Source organism: Homo sapiens, chromosome 2 (genome assembly GCF_000001405.40).
Source record: "Homo sapiens chromosome 2, GRCh38.p14 Primary Assembly".
Lineage (NCBI taxonomy): Eukaryota > Metazoa > Chordata > Mammalia > Primates > Hominidae > Homo > Homo sapiens.
In genome coordinates this window covers 9,362,476-9,384,299 of record NC_000002.12, presented here as the reverse complement: position 1 = coordinate 9,384,299, position 21,824 = coordinate 9,362,476, and the positions used below count along the sequence as shown (strand labels likewise).

General features: G+C 48.3%; 1 protein-coding gene across 22 annotated transcripts in view, besides 4 other annotated features; it reads right to left on the bottom strand.

Annotated features, from left to right (window-relative positions):
* ASAP2 (ArfGAP with SH3 domain, ankyrin repeat and PH domain 2) overlaps positions 1-21,824 on the bottom strand; it is a 198,867-nt gene that overhangs the window by 21,379 nt on the left and 155,664 nt on the right. For all 22 annotated transcript variants that reach the window (XM_011510403.4, XM_011510407.3, XM_011510404.3 and 19 more), the window contains 5 exons: positions 15,781-15,875; positions 9,356-9,545; positions 7,307-7,392; positions 5,241-5,356; positions 3,492-3,559 (listed from right to left, as the gene is read on the bottom strand). In XM_011510403.4, the coding sequence (XP_011508705.1) occupies positions 3,492-3,559; positions 5,241-5,356; positions 7,307-7,392; positions 9,356-9,545; positions 15,781-15,875 (555 nt within the window). The remainder of the gene's footprint in view (positions 1-3,491; positions 3,560-5,240; positions 5,357-7,306; positions 7,393-9,355; positions 9,546-15,780; positions 15,876-21,824) is intronic.
* Positions 4,988-5,572: an enhancer, noted in NCBI's record as "H3K27ac-H3K4me1 hESC enhancer chr2:9518857-9519441 (GRCh37/hg19 assembly coordinates)". NCBI's record gives its function as "activates a minimal SCP1, AML or CMV promoter by ChIP-STARR-seq in primed H9 embryonic stem cells {active_cell/tissue: H9 hESC(primed)}" and the evidence as "EXISTENCE:reporter gene assay evidence [ECO:0000049][PMID:30033119]".
* Positions 9,737-10,285: an enhancer, noted in NCBI's record as "H3K27ac-H3K4me1 hESC enhancer chr2:9514144-9514692 (GRCh37/hg19 assembly coordinates)". NCBI's record gives its function as "activates a minimal SCP1, AML or CMV promoter by ChIP-STARR-seq in primed H9 embryonic stem cells {active_cell/tissue: H9 hESC(primed)}" and the evidence as "EXISTENCE:reporter gene assay evidence [ECO:0000049][PMID:30033119]".
* Positions 10,286-10,834: an enhancer, noted in NCBI's record as "H3K27ac-H3K4me1 hESC enhancer chr2:9513595-9514143 (GRCh37/hg19 assembly coordinates)". NCBI's record gives its function as "activates a minimal SCP1, AML or CMV promoter by ChIP-STARR-seq in primed H9 embryonic stem cells {active_cell/tissue: H9 hESC(primed)}" and the evidence as "EXISTENCE:reporter gene assay evidence [ECO:0000049][PMID:30033119]".
* Positions 18,826-19,120: an enhancer, noted in NCBI's record as "tiled region #10317; K562 Activating DNase unmatched - State 8:EnhW, and HepG2 Activating DNase matched - State 5:Enh". NCBI's record gives its function as "activates a minimal TATA promoter and a strong SV40 promoter by Sharpr-MPRA in K562 cells, with weaker activity in HepG2 cells {active_cell/tissue: K562 | HepG2}" and the evidence as "EXISTENCE:reporter gene assay evidence [ECO:0000049][PMID:27701403]".

The window sequence follows — 21,824 nt, the reverse complement described above, 5'->3', positions numbered from 1 at the left end:
TCCTCCCTTATTCCTGGGCACAGGCCAAGCTAACCATGGGAAGAATTTAGTTTGTGGTGTAAGTTTGAATCAAGGATGGTAATAGTCCCTCCCTAAAACTGACTCTGTTCTTTTCTTTTTAATTAATTTATTTTTTTATTATACTTTAAGTTCTAGGGTACATGTGCACAACGTGCAGATTTGTTACATACGTACAAATGTGCCATGTTGGTGTGCTGCACCCATTAACTCATCATTTACATTAAGTATATCTCCTGATGCTATCCCTCCCCCGTCTCCCCACCCCATGACAGGCCCCGGTTTGTGATGTTCCCCGCCCTGTGTCCAAGTGTTCTCACTGTTCAGTTCCCACCTATGAGTGAGAACGTGCGGTGTTTGGTTTTCTGTCCTTGCAATAATTTGCTCAGAATGATGGTTTCCAGTTTCATTCATGTCCCTACAAAGGACATGAACTCATCCTTTTTTATGGCTGCACAGTATTGCACGGTGTATATGTGCCACATTTTCTTAATCCAGTCTATCACTGACAGACATTTGGGTTGGTTCCAAGTCTCTCTGCTATTGTGAATAGTGCCGCAATAAACATACGTGTGCATGTGAAAACTGACTCTGTTCTTGTTAGGGAACTTGAAAGTGCCTTTGGAAGACTAATGAAAGGCCTCAAGATTAGGATTATGGGAAGGGTCTGAATTCTGCTAAAATGTAGGTGCAGCTTGCCTCTCTATTAATGTAATTGTTTACCATCCAGTGGAGTGGCTCACACCTGTAATCCCAGCATTTTGGGAAGCTGAGGCAGGAGGACTGCTTGAGCCAGGAGTTTGAGACCAGCCCAGGCAACATAGCGAGACCCCATCACTACAAAAAATTTAAAAACTTTTTTAGCCAGGCGTGGTGGCATGCATCTGTAGTCTCAGCTACTCGGGAGGCTGAGGTGAGAGGATCGCTTGAGCTCAGGAGTTTGAGGCTGTCCACAAGCACGCCATTGCACTCCAACCTGGGCAACAGAGAGACACTGTCTTTTTTTAAAAAAATTGTTTACTGCACCAGAGGCCACGATACTTGTGACTTCCCCAATTGATCCTATAGATAACATATCCTAAGACTGATCTTTTGAGATATTTTTTCAGACTTTTGCATCCTGGTGACCAACTGACTCCACTGAACCTGACTCATGACTCAAACAGTCCCGTGGCCCCCCCGAGATGATATGCAGTGGACAAGGGCTGTTTCTCATACTCTTATGATTTCACTCCCAACCAATCAGCAGCACCCATTTCCTAGCCCTCTTGCCCATCCAACCATCCTTGAAAAACCCTAACCTCTGAGCCTTTGTGGGGACACAGTTGAGTAATAATTCCTGTCCTCCCACCGCTCAGCCAGCTTGCCATAATTAAACTCTTTCTCTGCTGCAATCACACTGTCTCATGAATTGGGTTTAATCTATGCAGCAGGCAAGAAGAACCTGTCAGGCGACTACAATTGGTGTATGGGGTCGGGGGAGAACCCCACACCTTTGGTCACAGCAGTCTGCTTCTGTATTGCTTGTTGTGACAACAGTGTAACCGTACAGAAAAAACAGGGCTAGAGTTTTCCCCAAAACAACAGGCAAAGGATATTTGAGATCTAAAGGATGCTGATCAGCCTGCAAGTATCCATACTCCATATGGGAGAAAGCTCAACCCCAGGAGAATGAATGTGCTCATTCACTGTAAACCCAGCCTTTTCAACCAGGATGAGAGAATTAAACGCTGTAGAAAATGATCTGTGTGGCTATTTTCTCAGTTCTCTCAAGGAAGGTAGATAGCTAGTTCCGTTCTACATGTGCAGAAGAGAAGTTAATTCGTTACACACTATGGGTGTCTCAGGACCTCAGGGCTTAATTTCCCCCATAACCAGATAGTAGCTACATGACCCTGGCCAAGTCACTTAACTTTCCTGTGCCTGTGTCCTCATCTGTAAAATGAGGACAACAGCAGAAACTATGTCATAAGGTAGCTATGAAGATTAAATGAGACAGGTCAGGTGTGGTGGCTCACGCCTATAATCCCAGCACTTTGGGAGGCCAAGGCGGGTGGATTGCTTGAGGTCAGGAGTTCAAGACCAGCCTGACCAATATGGTGAAACCCCGTCTCTATTAAAAATATAAAAATTAGCTGGGCGTGGTGGCAGGTGCCTGTAATCCGAGTTACTCAGGAGGCTGAGGCAGAAGAATTGCTTAAACCTGGGAGGCGGAGGTTGCAGTGAACAGAGATCATGTCACTGCACTCCAGCCTGGGTGACAGAGTAAGACTCCATCTCAAAAAAAAAAAAAAAAAAAAAGATTAAATGAGCTCGTGGATGTACAGTGCTTAGAAAGAGGACCTGTTACTTATCTTACACTTGTATAGCATTTATTATTAATAGTTCTTTTTTTTCTCCCCCAGGCTGGTGCGCATTGGCATAATCATGGCTCACTGTAGTCTTGAACTCCTAAGCTCAAGTCCATTCTCCCACCTCAACTTCCCCAGTAGCTGGGACTGCAGGTGCGTGCCACCACACCCAGCTAATTCGAAACGTTTTTGTGGAGATGGCGTGTTGCTCTGTTGCCCAGGCTGGAGTGCAGTGACACCATTATGGCTCACTGTAGCTTTGAACTCCTGGTCTCAAAGTGATCCTCCTACCTTAGCCTCCTGGGTAACTGGGGCTACAGGCATGCTCCACCATGCGTTGCTAGTTTTTAAATCATTTGCAGAGACAGAGTCTCACTATGTTGCCAGGCTGATCTCGAATTCCTGGCCTCAAGCCATCATCCCCTGCCTTAGCCTCCCAAAGCTTTGGGATTACAAGGCGTGAGTCACTGTGCCTGGCCTTAATCTATTTACTGAGCGCTGTGTGTCAACTGCTTTACAGCATTTGATAATAATTCTCACAACAACCTTATATACTGGTATAACTGACTGCACTGTAGAAATAAGGAAACAGCCTAAGAGAGTTTCCTTCCCAAGCCAAGCTGGGGAGCCCCCGGCAAGGCCAGGGCTGCCTGGCCTGGTGGGCTCTTTCTACTGTCTACATTGTCTTTTCTTCCAGAACAGGAAAAGATGGTATTGAGCAACCCACATGATCTGGGGCTGAGGAACAAAGAAAGGAGGTTGGCCTTGATGTCCTGCAAAGTAGCAAGTAAACAGCTTACGGAGGCCAGAGAGCAGGCCCTTGTGGTGGCCTCGGGCCTCTGTTCCAGTTGTCCCACCACAGCAGTGATGTTACCAACACGGCCAACCAGCAAACACTGACTCACACCCCAAGTCTCACTGCGAGGGGTGGGTCCCCCTAGGTTTCCCTGTAGACTCCCTAGCATACCTTCTCCAAGGCAGGCTGATTCTCGGCTCATCCCATCAGAAACACTGAGCTCTGCTCAGGACACTGGTTCACAGCAAACCCTGCCCAAGGAGGACAGGCTTGGCTCCCTGTCCCGTGACAGGTGCCCCACCCCGTCCTTGTGGTGGGAGACTCACCAGCTCCTCACAGTGCTCGTGCTTGAGGCGCTTGGCAATGTCCAGCGGAGTCTCTCCTGACTCGTTTGCTAAAATTCAAGGGCGAGCAAAGGAGGCGTTAAGGCAAAACCCAGCAAAGGCCTGACATCCAGGACAATTTTTAAAAGGAACAGAAAGGCAGCACTAAATTAAATTGGGCCTGGTTAATGAAATCCACAGTGAGTTTGACCTAGTCGAGGCTGAATGTATCTTGTAATTGTATAGAACTACAGCTAAATACAGAAGGTAAAACTTTAAAAGATGAAGTTTGAACTAATCAAGAAACTAAAACTGGCCAGGCGCAGTGGCTCACGCCTGTAATCCCAGCACTTTGGGAGGCAGAGGTGGGTGGATCATTTGAGGTCAGGAGTTCGAGACCAGCCTGGCCAACATGGTGAAACCCCGTCTCTACTAAAAATATAAAGATTAGCCAGGCGTGGTGGCACATGCCTGTGGTCCCAGCTACTCAGGAGGCTGAGGCAGAAGAATCGCTTGAACCTGGGAGGCAGAGGTTGCAGTGAGCCGAGATTGTGCCACTGCACTCTAGCCTTGGTGACAGAGCGAGACTCTGCCTCAAAAAAAACAAAAAACAAAAACAAAAACAAAAACTGTTGAAGCAGCCACCTAATTAAAATCCACATCCAAACTGTAACTCATTGAATAAAGCGATTCATCATAAACCTCTAACGAAAAGCACTGCTCACCTATTTCCATGCACTGCAATATAACAAACTTTTAAACCTTCTCTCAAGCAGTCTATAAACCCTGAAAGTATATACTTTATTTATTTTTTTTTTTTTGAGATGGAGTCTTGCTCTGTTGCCAGGCTGGAGTGCAATGGTGCAATCTCAGCTCACTGCAACCTCCGCCTCCCGGGTTCAAGTGATTCTCCTGCCTCAGCCTCCCAAGTAGCTGGGCCTACAGGTGCGCGCCACCATACCCGGCTAATTTTTGTATTTTTAGTGGAGACAGGGTTTCACCATGTTGGCCAGATGGTCTCGATCTCTTGACCTCGTGAGCCACTGCACCCGGCCTATAATTTCTTCTAAATAAGCCTCAGTCAATGAGGTCTGATTATTAGTTTTTTAATGATAAGCACGGCTCTCAGGCAGATGTGTGTCTTTTTTCTATTCTTTCCTCTTTATTTAACAGTCCTTCAAAAATACTTCCTCCTGAGGGGACAACAGCTGGATGCTCTCAAGGCACAACTGTGCCTTGGCTGTTGGCATGTCGGGGTCCTCGAGAGAGGGAGGGACCGGGGCCAAGTAACAACCAGGGCCCTTCATGGAGGAAGCAGTGGTGCAAATGAAAGGAGAGGGCAGTAAACAGCATCTCCCCCTGTAATCCGTCTAAACCCAGAGCCAAGAAAGGGGCCAAGTGTGGCCTCAGGTGGGGGTGAGTAGACTCAGGGTATGTGAACAGGTCAAAATTCCCCAACCTTGTCCAAATTCACCTGGCATCCGTGAGAGCTGCAAGACCCACCCTTTGCTTGTCTTATGATCTGTAAAATGCCTGTAAACGCGCCCAAAGTCTAAGTAACAGATGGTGAATGCGGCCTCGTGGAACAGGCAGGGAGAGGCTCTTTCTCATTAGCGGTAGGTTCTCCTTCTCTTTGGCACTAACAAGAGCCCACAGGGTTGGCCCTGTTTCCAAGAGCAGCGCTTGGATGGCAGACAGGAGGCAGAGGCCAGGGTGCAGCTGAGCCCACCCCCGGGGCCCGGGCCCACTCACCTATCTCGATGGAGGCCTTCCCCCGCAGGAGCAACTTGAGGCACTCGGCATTGTCGGTCAGGCAGCAGTAGTGCAGGGCTGTGCTGCCTTTCCCTGTCTGTTTATCCAGGTTCCCACTGCCCGAGAACAGGAACAGAGAGAGAGCATAGTGTGTCACAGGCTGGACGACCAGGGACTGCCCGGCAGGGAGCCTGGGCTACGGGCACAGGAAAGGCAGACAGTCCCCGAGTGAACGGTTTCTGTAAATCATCGCCAAGGTGGTGGGACCTGGCACCGTCCCTGCCTACATGGCTGGGGAAGCCTTAGCAGAAGGTCATCAGGGAAATAACACGATGATGGCAGAAGAGGTCAAAAGGGGAGGGGGGCATCCCTGTTGTTGCTGAGCATGTGGGGCCAAGGTGGGGCAGTGCACTACCGGGGTGAACCTAGAGCCCAGCGTCCTTCTCACGTCCCACTGGCTGCGCCGAGGCTGCTGTGCTAGGCCGGCCAGCTGTGCTGGATGCAGGGCCTCTGGATGCCTGTGTGACTCATCCATCCTGTCCCACGGGAGGACGGAGGCTGAGCTTTTCTCTATCATTATTTGATATTCCCTCCAGGAAAGGGAAAAGTCACTTTCCCAAAGCCCAGAGTCCCCAGGCTCCTCGGCCTGTTTGCCCTGGGAATACCCTCTGAAAACAGGCTAAAGGGGAATCTTGAGATTTTCAAAAGTTCTTCCAACATATCACAAGACCAGGTCACCCACAAAAGGTGCTCAGGCTTGGCAGACATGGGACAGGCCCTCAATCCTAGCAAACATGGCCACTGTCACATTCTGAGGAGGGGCAGTGAGCTTTGTGCCCCTGCACAAAGTGGAGACAGAAAGGCGATCTCAGGAAGTGGCACCTGCTGCTTCCATGAGAAGGAAACCAATTACATTTTCAATATCAAAAAAGGAGTTTCTTTTTCACCAAATTGTGGGCATGGGGAGCGGGGGGTGTGTTTCATTTTCAGAATTCTCCCCCACTTTTGTCCTCCTTCCACTCTGGAAAAAAAGAAACTGGGACCTTCCCTCTCCTGCCCCCTGAAAATGTGCATGGAGGGAGAGGCATCACGCAGCTATCAACCAAATGTTTACGAAACCCCTGCTGCGTTCTAGGAGCCGGGCTGGCACTCAGAGATGGGGCATCAGGGCAGCTTCCACCACGAGTCCAGTGAACTCAGCCTCCTCAGGAAGAAGCTGCAGGTCTTGGGGTTGACCACCCCACACTCCCCTACTTTCTGGCCATTTCTTCACTCCTCTGCTCAGAAATGGGAGGAAAAAGCAGAGGACACAAAATGCAAACTATCCCATGGCTTTTGCATTTTGGAATTTTCCATTTCCTTTGGAGCAATTTCTGTGGCTTTTAACAGCACCTCCTCCTCCTCCAGTACACACATGGCTCAAACCACGATCAGGGAGTCAAAATACACGTTGAGGGGTCTTGAAGTCCAGCCTTCAGCTGCCAGGCAGGTAACACATGACTGAAGCAATATGCCCCAAACCACGGGGACTCCCAGATCTGTGGTAAACTGCCTGTGCACATCTCTAAAGGCCATTTCTAATCAAAGCATAAAAACAACTTCTCGACCCAAACAAAACACCCATAATCCAGTGCTCTGGTTTCTAATCTCTGGCTCAGACCATGGCTAATGTGTGGATCCCTCCTTGCCTGCTACCTCCCTACTGCTCAGGACACTGCTTGCGCAGTACGATGACCTGGCTCACAGGATGAGGCGAGGACGGCCCCTGTGCACAGAGGGTGGTCATGGGGTCCCCAAGTTCAGTAGCCATATCTACTTGGTGTCTCCCTGAGTACCAGACACTAGAAGTTGGACCCTGCAATTACCACAAAAGAGTTTCTAGTGCTTTTTTAAAGGATTGCCATGGAGTACCTCACACCTGGCAGTCCTTTTTCTGTCTTTAATTCATGTTTAGAACTGGGAAGGTTCTCCTGACAACACATCAGAAGCGATGAGGCAGCGTCCGATTCCTTCCCCAGAAATACCAAGGAGAAAACGAGTGCCTCCCTTAATTTCAGAACACCTACCTGTTCTGAACTAAAAAGTCTACAATGTGAAGAGAGGTTCGATCCACGGATCTGACTGCAAGGTGGAGGGCCGTTTCATCCGGCTCCTGAAAAACCAAACAAAGGCATTCCAGAATTCTAATGGGAGCATTCAATTCTGTGTCCAACACCGGTGAAATCGTGTACAACTCTTCCAAAAGTCTTTTATCTTTCCCTTCGAGAAACTTATCTCTTACATAGAGTCTCTTTAATCTCTACACAAGCTCTTTGCCCTTGGGAACGTGCAATTTGGAGATTCGTCCTGTTTCTCCTGACTCCATGGGAAATAAATGAGAAGTTCAGGAGTTTCATTTCTAAGTCCTCTCAATCGACCTGTCCCCATCCCTGCATCAGCACCACAAGGCAGATCCCTGCCTGCAAGCAAGAATCTTGTTCAAAGGATCCAGGAAGGTCCCCCAGGCCACCTACAATCCAATCTCTTTACCTGCTCCTTGAGTAGAAACATATGTTTCTTAAGCAGGCTTAAAGTTTTGCGTTCTACACTTACAGACAAGGCTACGAATGCTAATAACTGCACTGTCTCCAACTCATACTGGGGATTCCCCAACTCCACTGCCTTTTCTGAAAGTACACCTGGCAGGTGGGGGAGAAGAGATGAACAAGGATTGTTTCAGCAGGTGGGTGGGTGAGAGAACCAGAGGAGAAGGACAGATACAGAAGACAGGAGGTGAGGGCAAAGGAAGGTGCTTCCCAGGCCGCCTGCCCTGCCTGCTGGGCCCTCTGGCGGCAGCACAGCTCAGTGCTGGGCACCCTCCACACTGCATTGGTGGGCATGAGTTCTTTCTGGGGATGGGGAGAGAGTGGGACCAGCTCAGAGCCTGCACGGACATGCCTGTTACCAAGAGAAAGATGCTGCAGCCGTGAGGCATCCTTGCTGATAGGCAGCCAGCCCAGTCCTGAGGTCAGGAGGTTCCAGGGGACCAAATGTGCATCTACAGGGTATTTGTGGACCAGAATCTGGACACATGCCACCCCACTTGGGTGCTGGTATGTTACTGCAAACCCACTCCAGCTGGATGCCCACCCTCTCAAGACAGCTCCCCCAGGAAAGGAGGGGTCTTGCTCCTACTCTATTCCCTCTGAGGGGGAGCACAGTGGGGTGTGGGTTCCAGGGAACCGCCCCTCTCAGAGAGCTTCTCTCGTTAGCATGAAGCTCAGGTTAAACCTGCTTGCAGATGAGGGGTCCCTCTCAGGCTGCCTAGCTTCTGAGATGTCTTCTCCTCCACCTGGAGATGGGTTTTCTTTCCAGAGCTGGCATTACATTTTTGGTGTAAGAATAAACCACTAGGTGGGTACAAAGTTTTAGACAAGGAGAATAAATCCTGCAGATCTACTACAAAGCCTGGTGACTCCAGGTAAGACTACATAGCGTCTATTTCAAAACTGAGTCGATTTTAAATGTGCTCTCCATTAAAAATGGATGAGCCTGTGAGGTAATGGATATGTTAGCTAGCTTGATGTAATCATTCCATGATGTAAACATAGATCAAAAACATCACAGCATACCCCATGAACATAGATACAATTATTTTCCTACTGAAAAGAAAAAACCCTAGTTTATTCTACCCCAGTACCCCTCTCCGTGCCGTCTTCCTCTGGAGAATTACCCAGCTTTGGTCAGTACTGCTGATTCCACAGACCTGCCACAGTGCCCCAGTTTTCCTTTTTTTTTGAGACAAGGTCTCACTCTGTCGGCCAGGCTGGAGTCCAGTGGCACAATCACGGCTCACTGGAGTTTCAAATTTCTGGGCTCAACCGATTCCTCTCACCCCAGCCTCCTGAGTAGCTGGGACTACAAATGTACACCACCATGCCTGGCCAATTTTACTTTTTTTTTTTTTTTTTTTTGTAGAGATGGGGCCTCCCTATGGTGCCCAGGCTGATCTCAAACTCCTGAGCTCAAAGGATCCTCCGCCTTGGCCTCCTGAAGTAAAGTACTGGATCCCAGGCATGAGCCACCGTGGCCGGCCTTTTTTTTTTTTTTAAAGTAGCAACAACCCACACTCTTACATGTCCGTTGGCCAGTGGGATTTTTTCCGTAAGATCCACACCATCAGCATAAGCTTGGAGCAATCCAAAAATATCTCTCGTTTTGACGGCCTCGCAAAGACTGTGAAGCTTCGCCGCGTTATCCGCGTGCTTCTTCCTTGCGTATCTCCTCTCGATGTACTTGGCTGTGATGTAGTCCTTTCTTGCATTCCTGAAACCAAACGTAATTGCCTTGCAAATCATGAAGGGCTTCTACCCGCCGTCCGGCCTCCCTTTGTCTAAGGCCATGTTAACGGTTCCTGCGCCATGTCCCTGGTAAGCACCGCTGGCCCCGAAACACAAAGCGGGAGTGGCCGCCATGTGGTTCTACGGCTGCACTGGTCTTCACTGCGACCTCCTGGGAACTGGCCAGGGGGACAACTCCCCATGTTCTCTCAGCCCACCCGCCTCTCTGCCTTGTCTCCCTCCCCTCACTCCTAAGTTCTGTGATCTGACCTCACTGTCGCCCTCGTCACCTCCACACCCTTCTTATTCAGGTCCTTCCAATCCGCATGCCCTGCGCCTCCTCCCCCAGGAAGGCCCTGCCCCTGCCCTCCATGCAGCCCTGGCCAACCTCTGTTCCAACATTCTCTACATGAAGGCCTGCCTGCCTCACTGCCCGACAGGCCCATGAGCTCCTTGGGGCATGGACTATGACCTCTTTTTTGTAGGCACCATGCCTGGTATGAAAGGCACTATCAGATGAACTGAAATGAAATGGCAGTCCTCTTTGTGTTCTACTTTCTGGCCTTTATGTGGCAACATGCTCAGACTCCGCCCCATCCAAAGAGCCTACAGAAGCAGGAACAAAAGGGGGCCAAAGAAGCCTGAGTTCAAATCCCACTCCCACCACACACTGCTGCTTTGAACTTGAATAAGTATTTCATCTCTCTAGACTTGTAAGTCTGACTTGCGAAAATGCACACAATACATCCTCACAGTAGCACCATGAGACGTATGTGCGTCAACACACCTGCAGCACACACAGTGGGTCCCGGGCCTTGGAAAGACCCAGTGAACTTACAAGAGGGAGAGCGAAACAGCAGCTCACTGGTCACAGAGTACATGCATTTTACAATCCCAATTCTGAAGGTTGAGGGTCACTGCCCAGGGACTCTTTGAATCTTGAGAATCAGGCAAGAGCCAGGCAGGGGCAGATCAGTTGCATCCATTTGTAACACAGCACTGCCTACAATCTGAGGACAAATGCGGCTGCTCCCCTTCGAGCTGGAGTCCCCGCACGGTTCCCTCCTGACCTCCGCTCTCTCACTCAGCTGACTATGGCAAGGGGCCATGGCTGCTGGAGCAGTTGTTGACTTTTCTGTACCTGCCCTAAATCCCCGTGGAACAACTGGCCCCCCAGAAGGGGAGCCTGAGCTCCCTGGACATGCCACTGGAGGCAGGGAGTAGAGATCCTGTCTACCCTGGGGTCCCTTGAAGATGGGCCAGCCTAAGATGAGAAGCCATTACTCCCACAGCACCCAGACGGAACTGAGTGGGCAGAGGTCTCTTGCCAGCGTCTGCCAGGCCTCAAATCTGCTTGTCCTTGGGTGCATGTGGCTCCTGGACACGCCGCAGCGTGAGGCTGGCTGGTGCAGCTGGAGAGGAAATCACGCCCCAGGGTGCCCGTTCCACCTGAGCAGGCAGCATGCTTCACAGCCCAGGAAGGACTTCCAGGGGCACCTGGTGAACTTGTGCTCTGGCACTTTTATCACACTGCCTCCCTCCTGCTCCGGCTCCAGTTCTGCCCGCTCTACAGGGCCTAGGTTAAGGCGGGTGCCTCAACGTCCCCCGGCACATGCTCCCCGTCCACACAGCGCTAACCCGTGCACTGAGCTCACTGCGGTGCTGGCTGACTTGTGTGTGAGATACGTGGTCTCAGTGGGTTCCCTCAACAGTGCCATGAGTTTTCATCTCCACCTGTAGGCACAACAGGCCCTCGAATAACAGCATTTTGTTATAATGTTAAGAAAAAAATCAATTCCCAGGCAGGGTCCCTGTCTGTGTGGAGTCCACCTGGGTTTTCTCTGGGCACTCCGGTTTCCCCCACATCCCAAAGCTGTGCACGTTCGGCTAACTGCTGTGTCTCAAAGGCCCCACTGCGACTGAGTGTGGACGTGGGTGTGACTGCGTCCCACAGTGGGACGGGGTCCTGTTCAGGGCTTGTTCCCACCCTGGACTTCAGCTGCCAGGACATGCTCCAGCCACCTCTGACCCTGAACTGGAATAAGTGGGTGAATCATTATCTTACTGGTTTTTATGATCTTTCTTTATCCCACTTAGTAGCCAGAATCTTTCTTAAATGTATGCATCGCTCATATTTCAATGTTTAATATTAGAAGTGTTCTGGGCCTTTATTCAAAAGTTTGGTGATGTTCTCATGATCAGAAATACATGGTAGGAACTGAACTCTGGTTTACATCAATTGGCATAGGGTAAAACTGGTTTCTTATACATCATTTTGCTTAAAGTCACAGGTTTCCAGAAACCTTTGAGTTTCTGGAACATTCAGGATTTACTGTACACTGAAGTCCATAAAGGGAAACTGGATTCTGTTTCCTCAGGCAGCTGGTGGGCCTACAAGGGAAGACCCATTTTATTCCTGCAGGTTCTCCTCTTAGGGCCTCCAGCACAGTGTGACACCCAGGGAGATGCTCCATTCCTGGCCTGGCGAGTGTCATGGTGGGCAGCCCATTTAATGATGTAAATGCCTCTTCTGACAGGCAGTTAGACTGGACAGTTGTCCAGTTTCATGCACTTTCAATCATCACTGTGGGACAATCATTACTGCGACCTCCACAGGAAAGGGATAGAGAGAAAGTGGACTTCCTTTACTTGTTTTTTAATGTATTTACTCATCTGCCCAGGGCTTGGAGGCCCCGAAGGCAGCTCCTACACAAACATGGGCACAGGTCTGTTTAACTCCACACATGCCCCCTGGTTTTGTGAAGGAGGTTTGCTTTGCTAATGTGATCCCTCAGATGGGGTTTCACCGTGTTAGCCAGGATGGTCTCGATCTCCTGACCTCGTGATCCGCCCACCTCGGCCTCCCAAAGTGCTGGGATTACAGGCGTGAGCCACCGCGCCCGGCCCTCCCTCTTTTTTTTAATGACAGGCTTTTGCAGAAAAACAATTAACATAATGATACATTTGGTGTTCAGAGGAGGGGCTCTCCTTACACTTCTCAAGGACAGGGTGTGTATAATGGTCCCAAGTCACAGGGAGAAACAGTTCTGGCTCCTGTGAGCAAATACAAGCCTAGCTTCCCTGCTCCACCTCCCCCAGTTACACGTCCCTGACACCCCCAAGATCCGTCTTGGGATTCACAGGCCACTAGAGGGTGTCCTTGGTTTCCCCTTCAACAGATTTATCTGCAGATGGTGTGCTGTTCTGAAATAAAGCTAGAAGCAGTGTATTCCTTTTCATCTGGAAGTAAAATACTAGCTTATTTAAGCAGGCACAGAGCTGGGAGTACTTGTTTGACTCGCTGATTCATTAAATAGTCACTGGTTCACCAGAAGCAACATATTACGGTGGGAAAAACCAAAATGAGTAAGAAGTAATTCATCAGAAAAATATATGTAAATGCCTGAGTATACTATGAAGTGGGATGAAATGTTTTAAAATAGAGCCAAATGCTATAGGAGCACAGAGCCAAGAAAGTAATTTCAGTTGAGAAGGAATGGAAGTAGCTGATGTTTCGCCATCACACGGGTCATCCGCCCTCATTTTGAAAAAAGCCCGGGGTTGGGGGATGTAAATTTCTTTTTCAACAGTGCCAAGGCTGGAGGAGGGCTACAGTGCAGACAGAACGTTCATACTGAAGGGTTCCACATTGACAGTGTTCATTTTTTAGAATCGCCTAGCCCCAGAACAACCAAATGCCCTGCTTTCGTTAGGTACCCCTGGTGCTTGGAAGAAACGACACACACTTTGTTCAGAACTGACCGATATGACAGCATTACAGGGTGCTGGTACCGTCAGTGTGAGATGAAGCAGCTGAAAGAGCAGGTGTCAACTGCACAGCAGGAGATGACCTCGCCATGCTGGATTCACGACGTTTCCTTCACCAAGCGGGACCCTCAGGCTCGCCCAGGAAGAGCTCCTTCACCTTGAGTAACTCTCCACTGAAACTTAACTGGAGAGGAACCTCATTTTCAGGGTGTATGGAATCAATGCAGGGTACAGATGTGACTTCTGTCACCCACAGGAAGAAGAGCAAGCAGGGCAGCTAATGTCAACCAGGCACTAAAACTAAGCACCACATGTCTGACCCCATCATCCCGCTCATGCCCCCAATGCCTCTGTGAGGGGGAACGTTATCTCCCTTTTTTTATTACAGAGCTTAGGCTCAGAGAAGTTAAACAATCTGCCGGTGTCCCATGGCTCAGATAAGGACTGAGATATCTATGTCCCTACTGCCTCTCTAGGTTTGGGTAAAAATATAGATTTGAAACTTAGATCCTCATCAAGAGAGGATGATCACATTGTCAACCTCATGCCTGGTATGTAAAACCACACGTTATCCAATTCTCAAGGAAATGCGACACCACAAACACTTGTTACAGGATTCAAACATAAACTGACTTTAATCCAACAACAACTAAATCGCTCACCTGAGATACCTGATACCTGAAAGACTGTAATGCACATGGTCCCTGTTCACTCCCTCGCAATGTTCTGGCTCTTTCACTGTATCAAGTTACATCAGCAAAACGCAGAAAGAATACAGGTCCTGCAATCTCCGTTTCTCAAAGACATGCCACACAAAATGGTTAAAAAAAATCTAGGCCAGGTACAGTGGCTCATGTCTGTAATCCCAGCACTTTGGGAGGCCAAGGTGGGCAGATCACGAGGTCAGGAGTTCAAGACCAGCCTGACCAACATGGTGAAACCCCATCTCTACTAAAGATACAAAAAATTAGCTGGGTGTGGTGGCATGTGCCTGTCCCAGCTACTCAGGAGGCTGAGGCAGGAGAATCACTCGAACCCAGGAGGCGGATGCTGCAGTGAGCCGAGATCACATCATTGCACTCCAGCCTGGGCAAGAGGTCTTGAAGGGGAAAAAAAAATCTAAATTCTCTCCCTTTACAAAGGGTCCATACACTACCACCTATTTGTGAAACCACCCTTAAAGACATTGTTCACTGTTGCTCACTGTCCTTTGGGAAGACTCGTGTCATTAATTCTACTTCAGGCTTATTCCACAGAAAATGCTGTTTCTGTAAATGAATTTTTAAATACTTTTTCTTATCACATATTTTTCATTTTTCTCTGTCCTGCCAGGACACGCTGACCCAGCCTCACCACTCAAATGCAGGTGCTCTGTTAACTGGCCCAGTAGCCTCTCTCCTTCCTTCCGTCTGTTTCACTTTGCATCACAACAAAACAGGTAAACCACCCATGTCCCCCTATAGACATAAGAGCCATAATACTAAACAGAGCTGAAGTCTAAGGCGAGCCGGACACCCACTGCCCGAACCCATGGGTCTCCCTGTCCACCTCTTCTCGAAGACTAGTGTGACATGGCCACTGACACTCTGATAAGATGGGCAAGAACATTCCCTGTTGTCAGCTCTGCACCAGTAGACACAAAAGCTTCTCCGCTGGCCAGGCACGGTGCCTCACGCCTGTAATCCCAGCACTTTGGGAGGCTGCAGCGAGTGGATCACCTGAGGTCAGGAGTTCGAGTCCAGCCTGGCCAACATGGTGAAACTCTGTCTCTACTAAAAATATAAAAATTAGCCAGGCGTGGTGGCATGTGCCTATAATCCCAGCTACTTGGGAGGCTGAGGCAGAAGAATCGCTTGAACCTGGGAGGCAGAGGTTGCAGTGAGCCGAGATCGTGCCACTGCACTCCAGCCTGGGTAACAAGAGTGAAACTCCGTCTCCCAGAAAAAAAAAAAAAAGCTTCTCCGTCAAGTTGTGTATCAACAATAACACAAACACAAACATTTTTTGAAGGAAGTAACACATTCCACATTTGCAAGGAGGCAAGGACGTTGGCAAGAAGGACGCTACATAATCACATATCTACCACAACCAGCCATCTCGGTGGCTCAGGATTATGCAGAGAGACCAAGACGGGGAAGTGACTCAACAGAACAGACAGCACAGGTGAAAAGTCCAGGGTCTTCCACCCACCAGTGGCGAGTGAGGCTCTCTACATACCCGCTGCACACACGCACAGCATCTGCGAAACCTGCCTGCTTTTGGCTTCTTCCTAAAAAAATTTCTATTTGGTCACCCAAAAGGTTAAAGTGACTAAGAAAACCCAACATAGGCTGATTTATTCCCTAAAGAAGCAACGATGGATGCACCCAAAACTTCTTATTCCCCTGCCTCCCGGGGCTCGGGCAAAGGCAAACCTTTACTCAGCAAATGAGAATAGCCAGTCCCATACTTACATGTCGCTGCCTGGGTTGGGTTTGACTGAGTCCTCAGCTGGTAGGCAACATTCCATGATCTCATTAAAGCCTGCATTCCCAATATTCTTGGCGAGCTGCAAAAATGAAAGTCTATTTCAGGATACTCAATTATTAATACATTCTACTGCTACACATTACCCATCCCCATCTGATGATTTATTTAATGGCCACTAAGAAATAGAGCAATAAAGTGGTTTGCCTTTAATGAAGATGGACAAAACCCAAAGCCCAAAGGTACCCATAAAATTAAAGATAAGAAGCGGCATGCCTATTACAGAGACGCATTGTCATAAAACGCGCTCTGGATAGAGTACAGACAGAGACAGGGAGAACCAGTAACTTGGTCCAATGTGAATTTCCATCCTTACCCACTCCTCCCAATGACCTGTGCCTCAACCAAAGTGAATCTATTTCACATCCTCAAACAACCTTTACTTATGCCAGCTATGAGGTAGTTCTGGTAGAGTGAAGCGGCACTGAGCCAGGAAAGCTAAGACTCAGGTTCAAATCACAGCTCCATTACCGGCTGTGTGACCACAGGCAAGTCAGTTTCCCTGAGCGGCAGAGTTTTCATCAGTAAAATGGGATGATACCTATACTTCTGGGTTGATAAAATTTAGGTGAAAACAGTAAACTGAAACACTAAAAATGTAATATATTAGCTCCAGATGTAAGGTCTTTACTTGCCAATCAATCTTCTGACATGTTAAACATTAAATTAACACATTCTTTTTTTTGAGACAGTGTCTTGCTCTGTTGCCCAGGCCGAAGTGCAGTGGCATGATCATGGCTTAATGCAACCTTGCCCTCCCCAGGCTCAGGTGACCCTCCTACCTCAGGTTCCCAAGCAGCGGGGACTATAGGCACACGCCACCACGCCCAGCTGATTTTTGTATTGTTTGTAGAGATGGGGTTTCACCATGTTGCCCAGGCTGGTCTCGAACTCCTGGGCTCATGCAATCCGGCCACCTCAGCCTCCCAAAGTGCTGGGATTACAGGCGTGAGCCGCTGCGCCTGGCCAGGTCAGATTCTTAAACGTTTAATGAAATAATACCAAAAGGGAGCACCAAGCTCAGTGCTTTGAGAAAACATATTTTCATTTCCATGTTCTGCTGGGGAGTCAGTGACGCTTGTGATATTTCTGCTCTCTATTGATTATGCAGGCAGGCCAGGCATGGTGGCTCACACCTGTATTCCTACCACTTTGGGAGGCCGAGGCGGGTGGATCGGCTGAGCTCAGGAGTTCGAGACTAGCCTGGGCAACAAGGTGAAACCCCATCTCTACTAAAATACAAAAGAAATTAGCCAGGCATGGCGGCGTGCACCTGTAGTCCCAGCTACTCAGGAGGCTGAGACAGGAGAATTGCTTGAATCCAGGAGGTGAAGATTGCAGTGAGCCGAGATCACACCACTGGACTCCAGCCTGGGCGACAGAGTGAGACTCCATCTCTACAAAAAAAAAAAAAAAAAATTATGCAGGCAAAGGAGTTAACAAACATGCTTTGGGAGAGGCTGCTGCAGCCTGAAATCGGGTCTATCTCTTGTAGGGAACTGACTGAAGGAGAGCCCAAGAGGTCTGGGTTAGATACACTGGAACTTCCTGGCGGCAAATAACATCAAACGGTGAAATGGGCTAGTGGGCTAGTGGAGGATGCAGACGCAATTTTTTAAAAACAGAAGAATTATGTGGGGTAGCCTAATAGCTGGATGATGAGCTTTCCTAATTCAACCCGGCCCTTGACACGTGGAAAAAGCTTTTTCTAGGCGGCCCAAAGCATAAAACATTAACCAACTCCACCTCCTTGCTCAGTCCTGGCTCTGGGACCTCAAGCCATCAGTCAGGAGGCAAAAGCCTAGAGGCTGCGTTGCAATTTTCCCAGGGACAACAGAATGGTCAGGTGGCACACCACTTAAGGTGACAGGTACCTATGCACCAGGAAGCTAATGCCCTGTGAAGGGTTTCTCAGGCAGCTGGTGTCAGATCCAGGACTGAACCCCAATGTCAGAGCGCCTGGTTTATAGCCAGGCAGCATACAATCCAAGCAGGACACTGTCCCCAGGTGAGCACAATGGTTTTCCCAAGTTGAGTGACAAAAATCACTGTGGCCCCCTCTATGAGCCAGGGGCCAACCACCCTGATGCCTCCTAGTTTGTGTTAAGCAGATGGGGGTGGGGAGATGGGAGGAGGAGAATTCCCCAGGAATCGAAGAGCTGCTTCCCTTCTGCTTGGACTTGGCTGGTTAACTGAGAGACAGCTGGTCCAGGGAGCCACCGCATCCATGTGTCACACTCATCCAATGCTAGAGAAACGTGCTACCTTGCAGTTCTGCCAAGTTCCAGTTTACGTTTCAGCCCATAGAGAACCCCTCCAGACCCATCGACAAAAGCAAAGCATTTGCAAATGGAGGCTGCAGGTGCCAGCAGGACAGGCAGGCAGAAACCAAGGGGGCAGGAAGGTGGCTGTCGACCTGAGCCCTGGCATCTCCTGCTTCTCACTGGCACCCAGAAGGAATTTGTGGGCTGCACTGAGGCAGAAATTGAGCCAGACTGGATGGAGGAGAGGAGGGAGTGTTTAAGTTCTGTATCACCCAGGGTAGCTCAGCCCAGTCCGTCGCCCTTCCTGTGGCCTCAGGAGCACACTCTGAGCCCCTCGTCTGTGCTGGGCATGAGGCATGAGGCACCCTCCTGCTCTATGGCAGCTCACTTCAACAAGGTAGCGATGAGTCAATAAGAAGCCCTGGAAAAGAAGTTCATCCTGAACACTATGAGGACAGCGGCACCAGGCCCAGATGAGCAGAGCAGTCCCTTGGCCAGGAGGCCCCTTTTCTTGGCACTCACCATACGGGGGAGTCGTCTGTGTGTGGGCATCTCCCTCCCTGATGGCCACACCCAGGACAGAGACACAGAATCACACACCTGTACGTCCTTAGCACCTACCTGAGCAGGGCCCACTGAGCCAAAATGAAGCTTTAGGTTTTATCTGGACATTGTTTTGAGAGTTTGGGGTGGGGCAGGGAAACCTCCTGTCCTGTTTTCATGTCTCCATGAGGAAGGACAACAATTGCTGTGACATTCTTCTCTGACTCACCCCAGGAGAGAACAGGCAAGTGAGAGAAACCAGACTTCCCTGACCGCTGAGCTCAGGAGACCCCAAGGTCAGCTCCTCCCTGATGTTAACTGGGCCCCTTGGATCCCCGAAGGGTGGAGGGCCTGAAGAGTGCAGTCCAGCTCTAAAGTACAGAGGGTAAAGGCCCAGACAAGGGAAGGGGCTTGACCAAACTGCTGCCTCCAAAGCAAAGAGCACAAAAGGACACTCTGGTGTGCAGGGAAAAAGTTTACATATGATGTCTTTACCTGACCCTTTAAAAGCTCTATTTTTGATGTAGTTTACAAAGTATGTATTTCTTAGTAAGTGTAGGTACATCATATGTAAGTAAGTACATGCTTTGGTGCTCAATTTTTTCTGATAGACTTTGTGGTTTAAAAAATGTTCAGAATCTTGGCTTTAAAAAAAAAGGCTAAAACACAGGCTCTGGAGTCTGATAGTTGGAATGTAAATCCTGCACTGGGTAAGTTTCTTAACCTCTCTGGTCTTTTTTTAAAAATGGAGCTCTCCATTTAGGTTAGATAATACAGTGTACGTAGAACACCTACAACAATGCCTGGAGCATAACAGTTCCTCCGTAAATGACCACTGATAGTCAATTTCCTGTTGCCCTAAGCAATTGCTTTTAGTATCTGGGTGGCACATTTCAGTCCTAGGTGAACTTAGAAGACAGTTGTAAGTCGTTAAGTTCTTCGTCTTTGAGGAGCTTTCCTCTCCACATGCTCTCTTTCAGATCAGACTGTGTGTTGACCCGCTTTAACATTTGACAGCTTATTAACAACCGTATGAGAACAGAAATAGAAGAAAGTCAAGAAACAGAAAGCTGAGTCAGTAAATATTTGGTAATGCTCTTGATGCCTGTTTTTTAATTTGATGTTTTTTTGTTTTGAGACAGGGTCTTACTCTGTCACCCAGGCTGGAGAGCAGTGGCACAATCTCAGTTCACTATAGCCAACCTCCTGGGCTCAGGTGATTCTCCCACCTCAGCCTCCCTGATAGCTAGGACCACAGGCATGTACTACCATACTCAGCTAACTTTTTTTTTTTTGTAGAGATGGGGTTTTGCCATGTGGCCCAGGTTGGTCTTGAACTCATGGGCTCAAGTGATCTGCCTGCCTCAGCCTCCCAAAGTGCTGGAGCTATAGGTGTGAACCACTGCGCCTGGTCTCATAAGATTTTTAAATGACTGACTCAAATTCAATTTCAGAATATCAAGAATTCCTTTATTAACTTCATGTATGATAGTGAAATTGATCATGATAGTAGTACCCTAGTACCAGTGATACTGTTTTTCATATGACCTGAAAAATCAAAGCTGAAATCATGATCTTCTACATTAAGAAGGAAATTTATCTTTTTAAAATCTGTGTTTACCAGAAAGTTTTTCCCAAAGTAGGTTTGCTTTAGAATCTAAAGATATTAAGCTGGTGTGTGCTAAAGTAGTTAAGATGACATGATTCCCCAGAACTAATTAATAATTCAATTATGCAACTTCCATTCCATTGGAAAAGAAGTAATGCTAGGCTGCAGGCGGTTCATGCCTATAATCCCAGCACTTTGGGAAGCCGAGGCTGGAAGACCACTTAAGCCCAGGAATTCCAGATTAGCCTGGCCAATATAGTGAGACCCTGTCTCTATGGAAAAATTTTAAAAAATTAGCTGGGCATGGTGGCACATGCCTATAGTCCCAGCTACCCAGAAGGATTGCATGAGCCTGGGAGGTAGAGGCTGCACTGAACCGAGATGGCACCACTGCACTCCAGCCTGGGCGACAGAGCAAGAACCTGTCAAAAAAAAGAGAAAGAGAAGACCTACAAATGACCAACAGGTATATGTATGAAAAAGTACACAGCATTAATCATACAAATCATCAGGGAAATGCAAATTAAAACCACGATCATCTCACACCTGTTAGAATGGCTTTTATCAAAAAGACAAAAGATAGCAAGTGTTGGCAGGGATGTGGAGAAAAGGGAAGGCTTGCACACTGGGTGGGAATGTAAATTATTATAATACAACCATTATAGAAAATGGTTATGGAGGTTCCTCGAAAAACTAGAACCACCATATAACCCACTTCTGGGTATTTACCCAAAAGATCTGAAATCAGTTTGTTGAAGACACGTCTTCACCATCTTGTTTACTGCAGCACTATTCACAATAGTCGAGATAGGGAATCAACCTAAATGCCACCAATGGACGAATGGATTTTAAAAATGTGGTATATATACATAATGGAATACTATTCGACCTGAAAAAAAGGACATTCTGTCATTTGTGACAACATGGATGAACCTGAAGGACATTATACTAAGTGAAATAAGCCAGGCAAAGAAAGACAAATCCTGCAAGATCTCATTTATATGCAAAATCTAAAAAAGCTGAACTCATAGAAGTAGAGAGCAGAACTATGGTTACCAGGGGTTGGGGGTGGGCATGTTGGTCAAAGCATGCAAAATTTCAGTTAGGATGAATAAAGTCTAGGGATCTAGTGTACAACACAGTGACTCTACTTAATAATAACGTACTGTATACTTAAAAATTTTGTTTTGAGACAGTCTCACTCTGTTGCCCAGGCTGGAGTGCAGTGGCAAGATCACAGTTCACTGTAGCCTCAACTTCCTGGGTGCTCAGGTGATCCTCCTGCCTCAGCCTCCCAAGTAGCTGGGACCACAGGTACTTGCCACCACTCCCAGCTAGTTTTAAAAAATTATTTGTAGAGATGGAGGTCTCCCTATGTTGGTCAGGCTGGTCTTGAACTCCCAGACTCAAACAATCTTCTCACCTCAGCCTCCCAAAGTACTGGGATTACAGGCGCCGGCCACCACACCAGGCTCAAGAGAGTAGATTTTAAGTGTTCTCACCACAAAACATAAGCATGTGAGGTGACAGATATGTTAACTAGCTTGATTTAGTC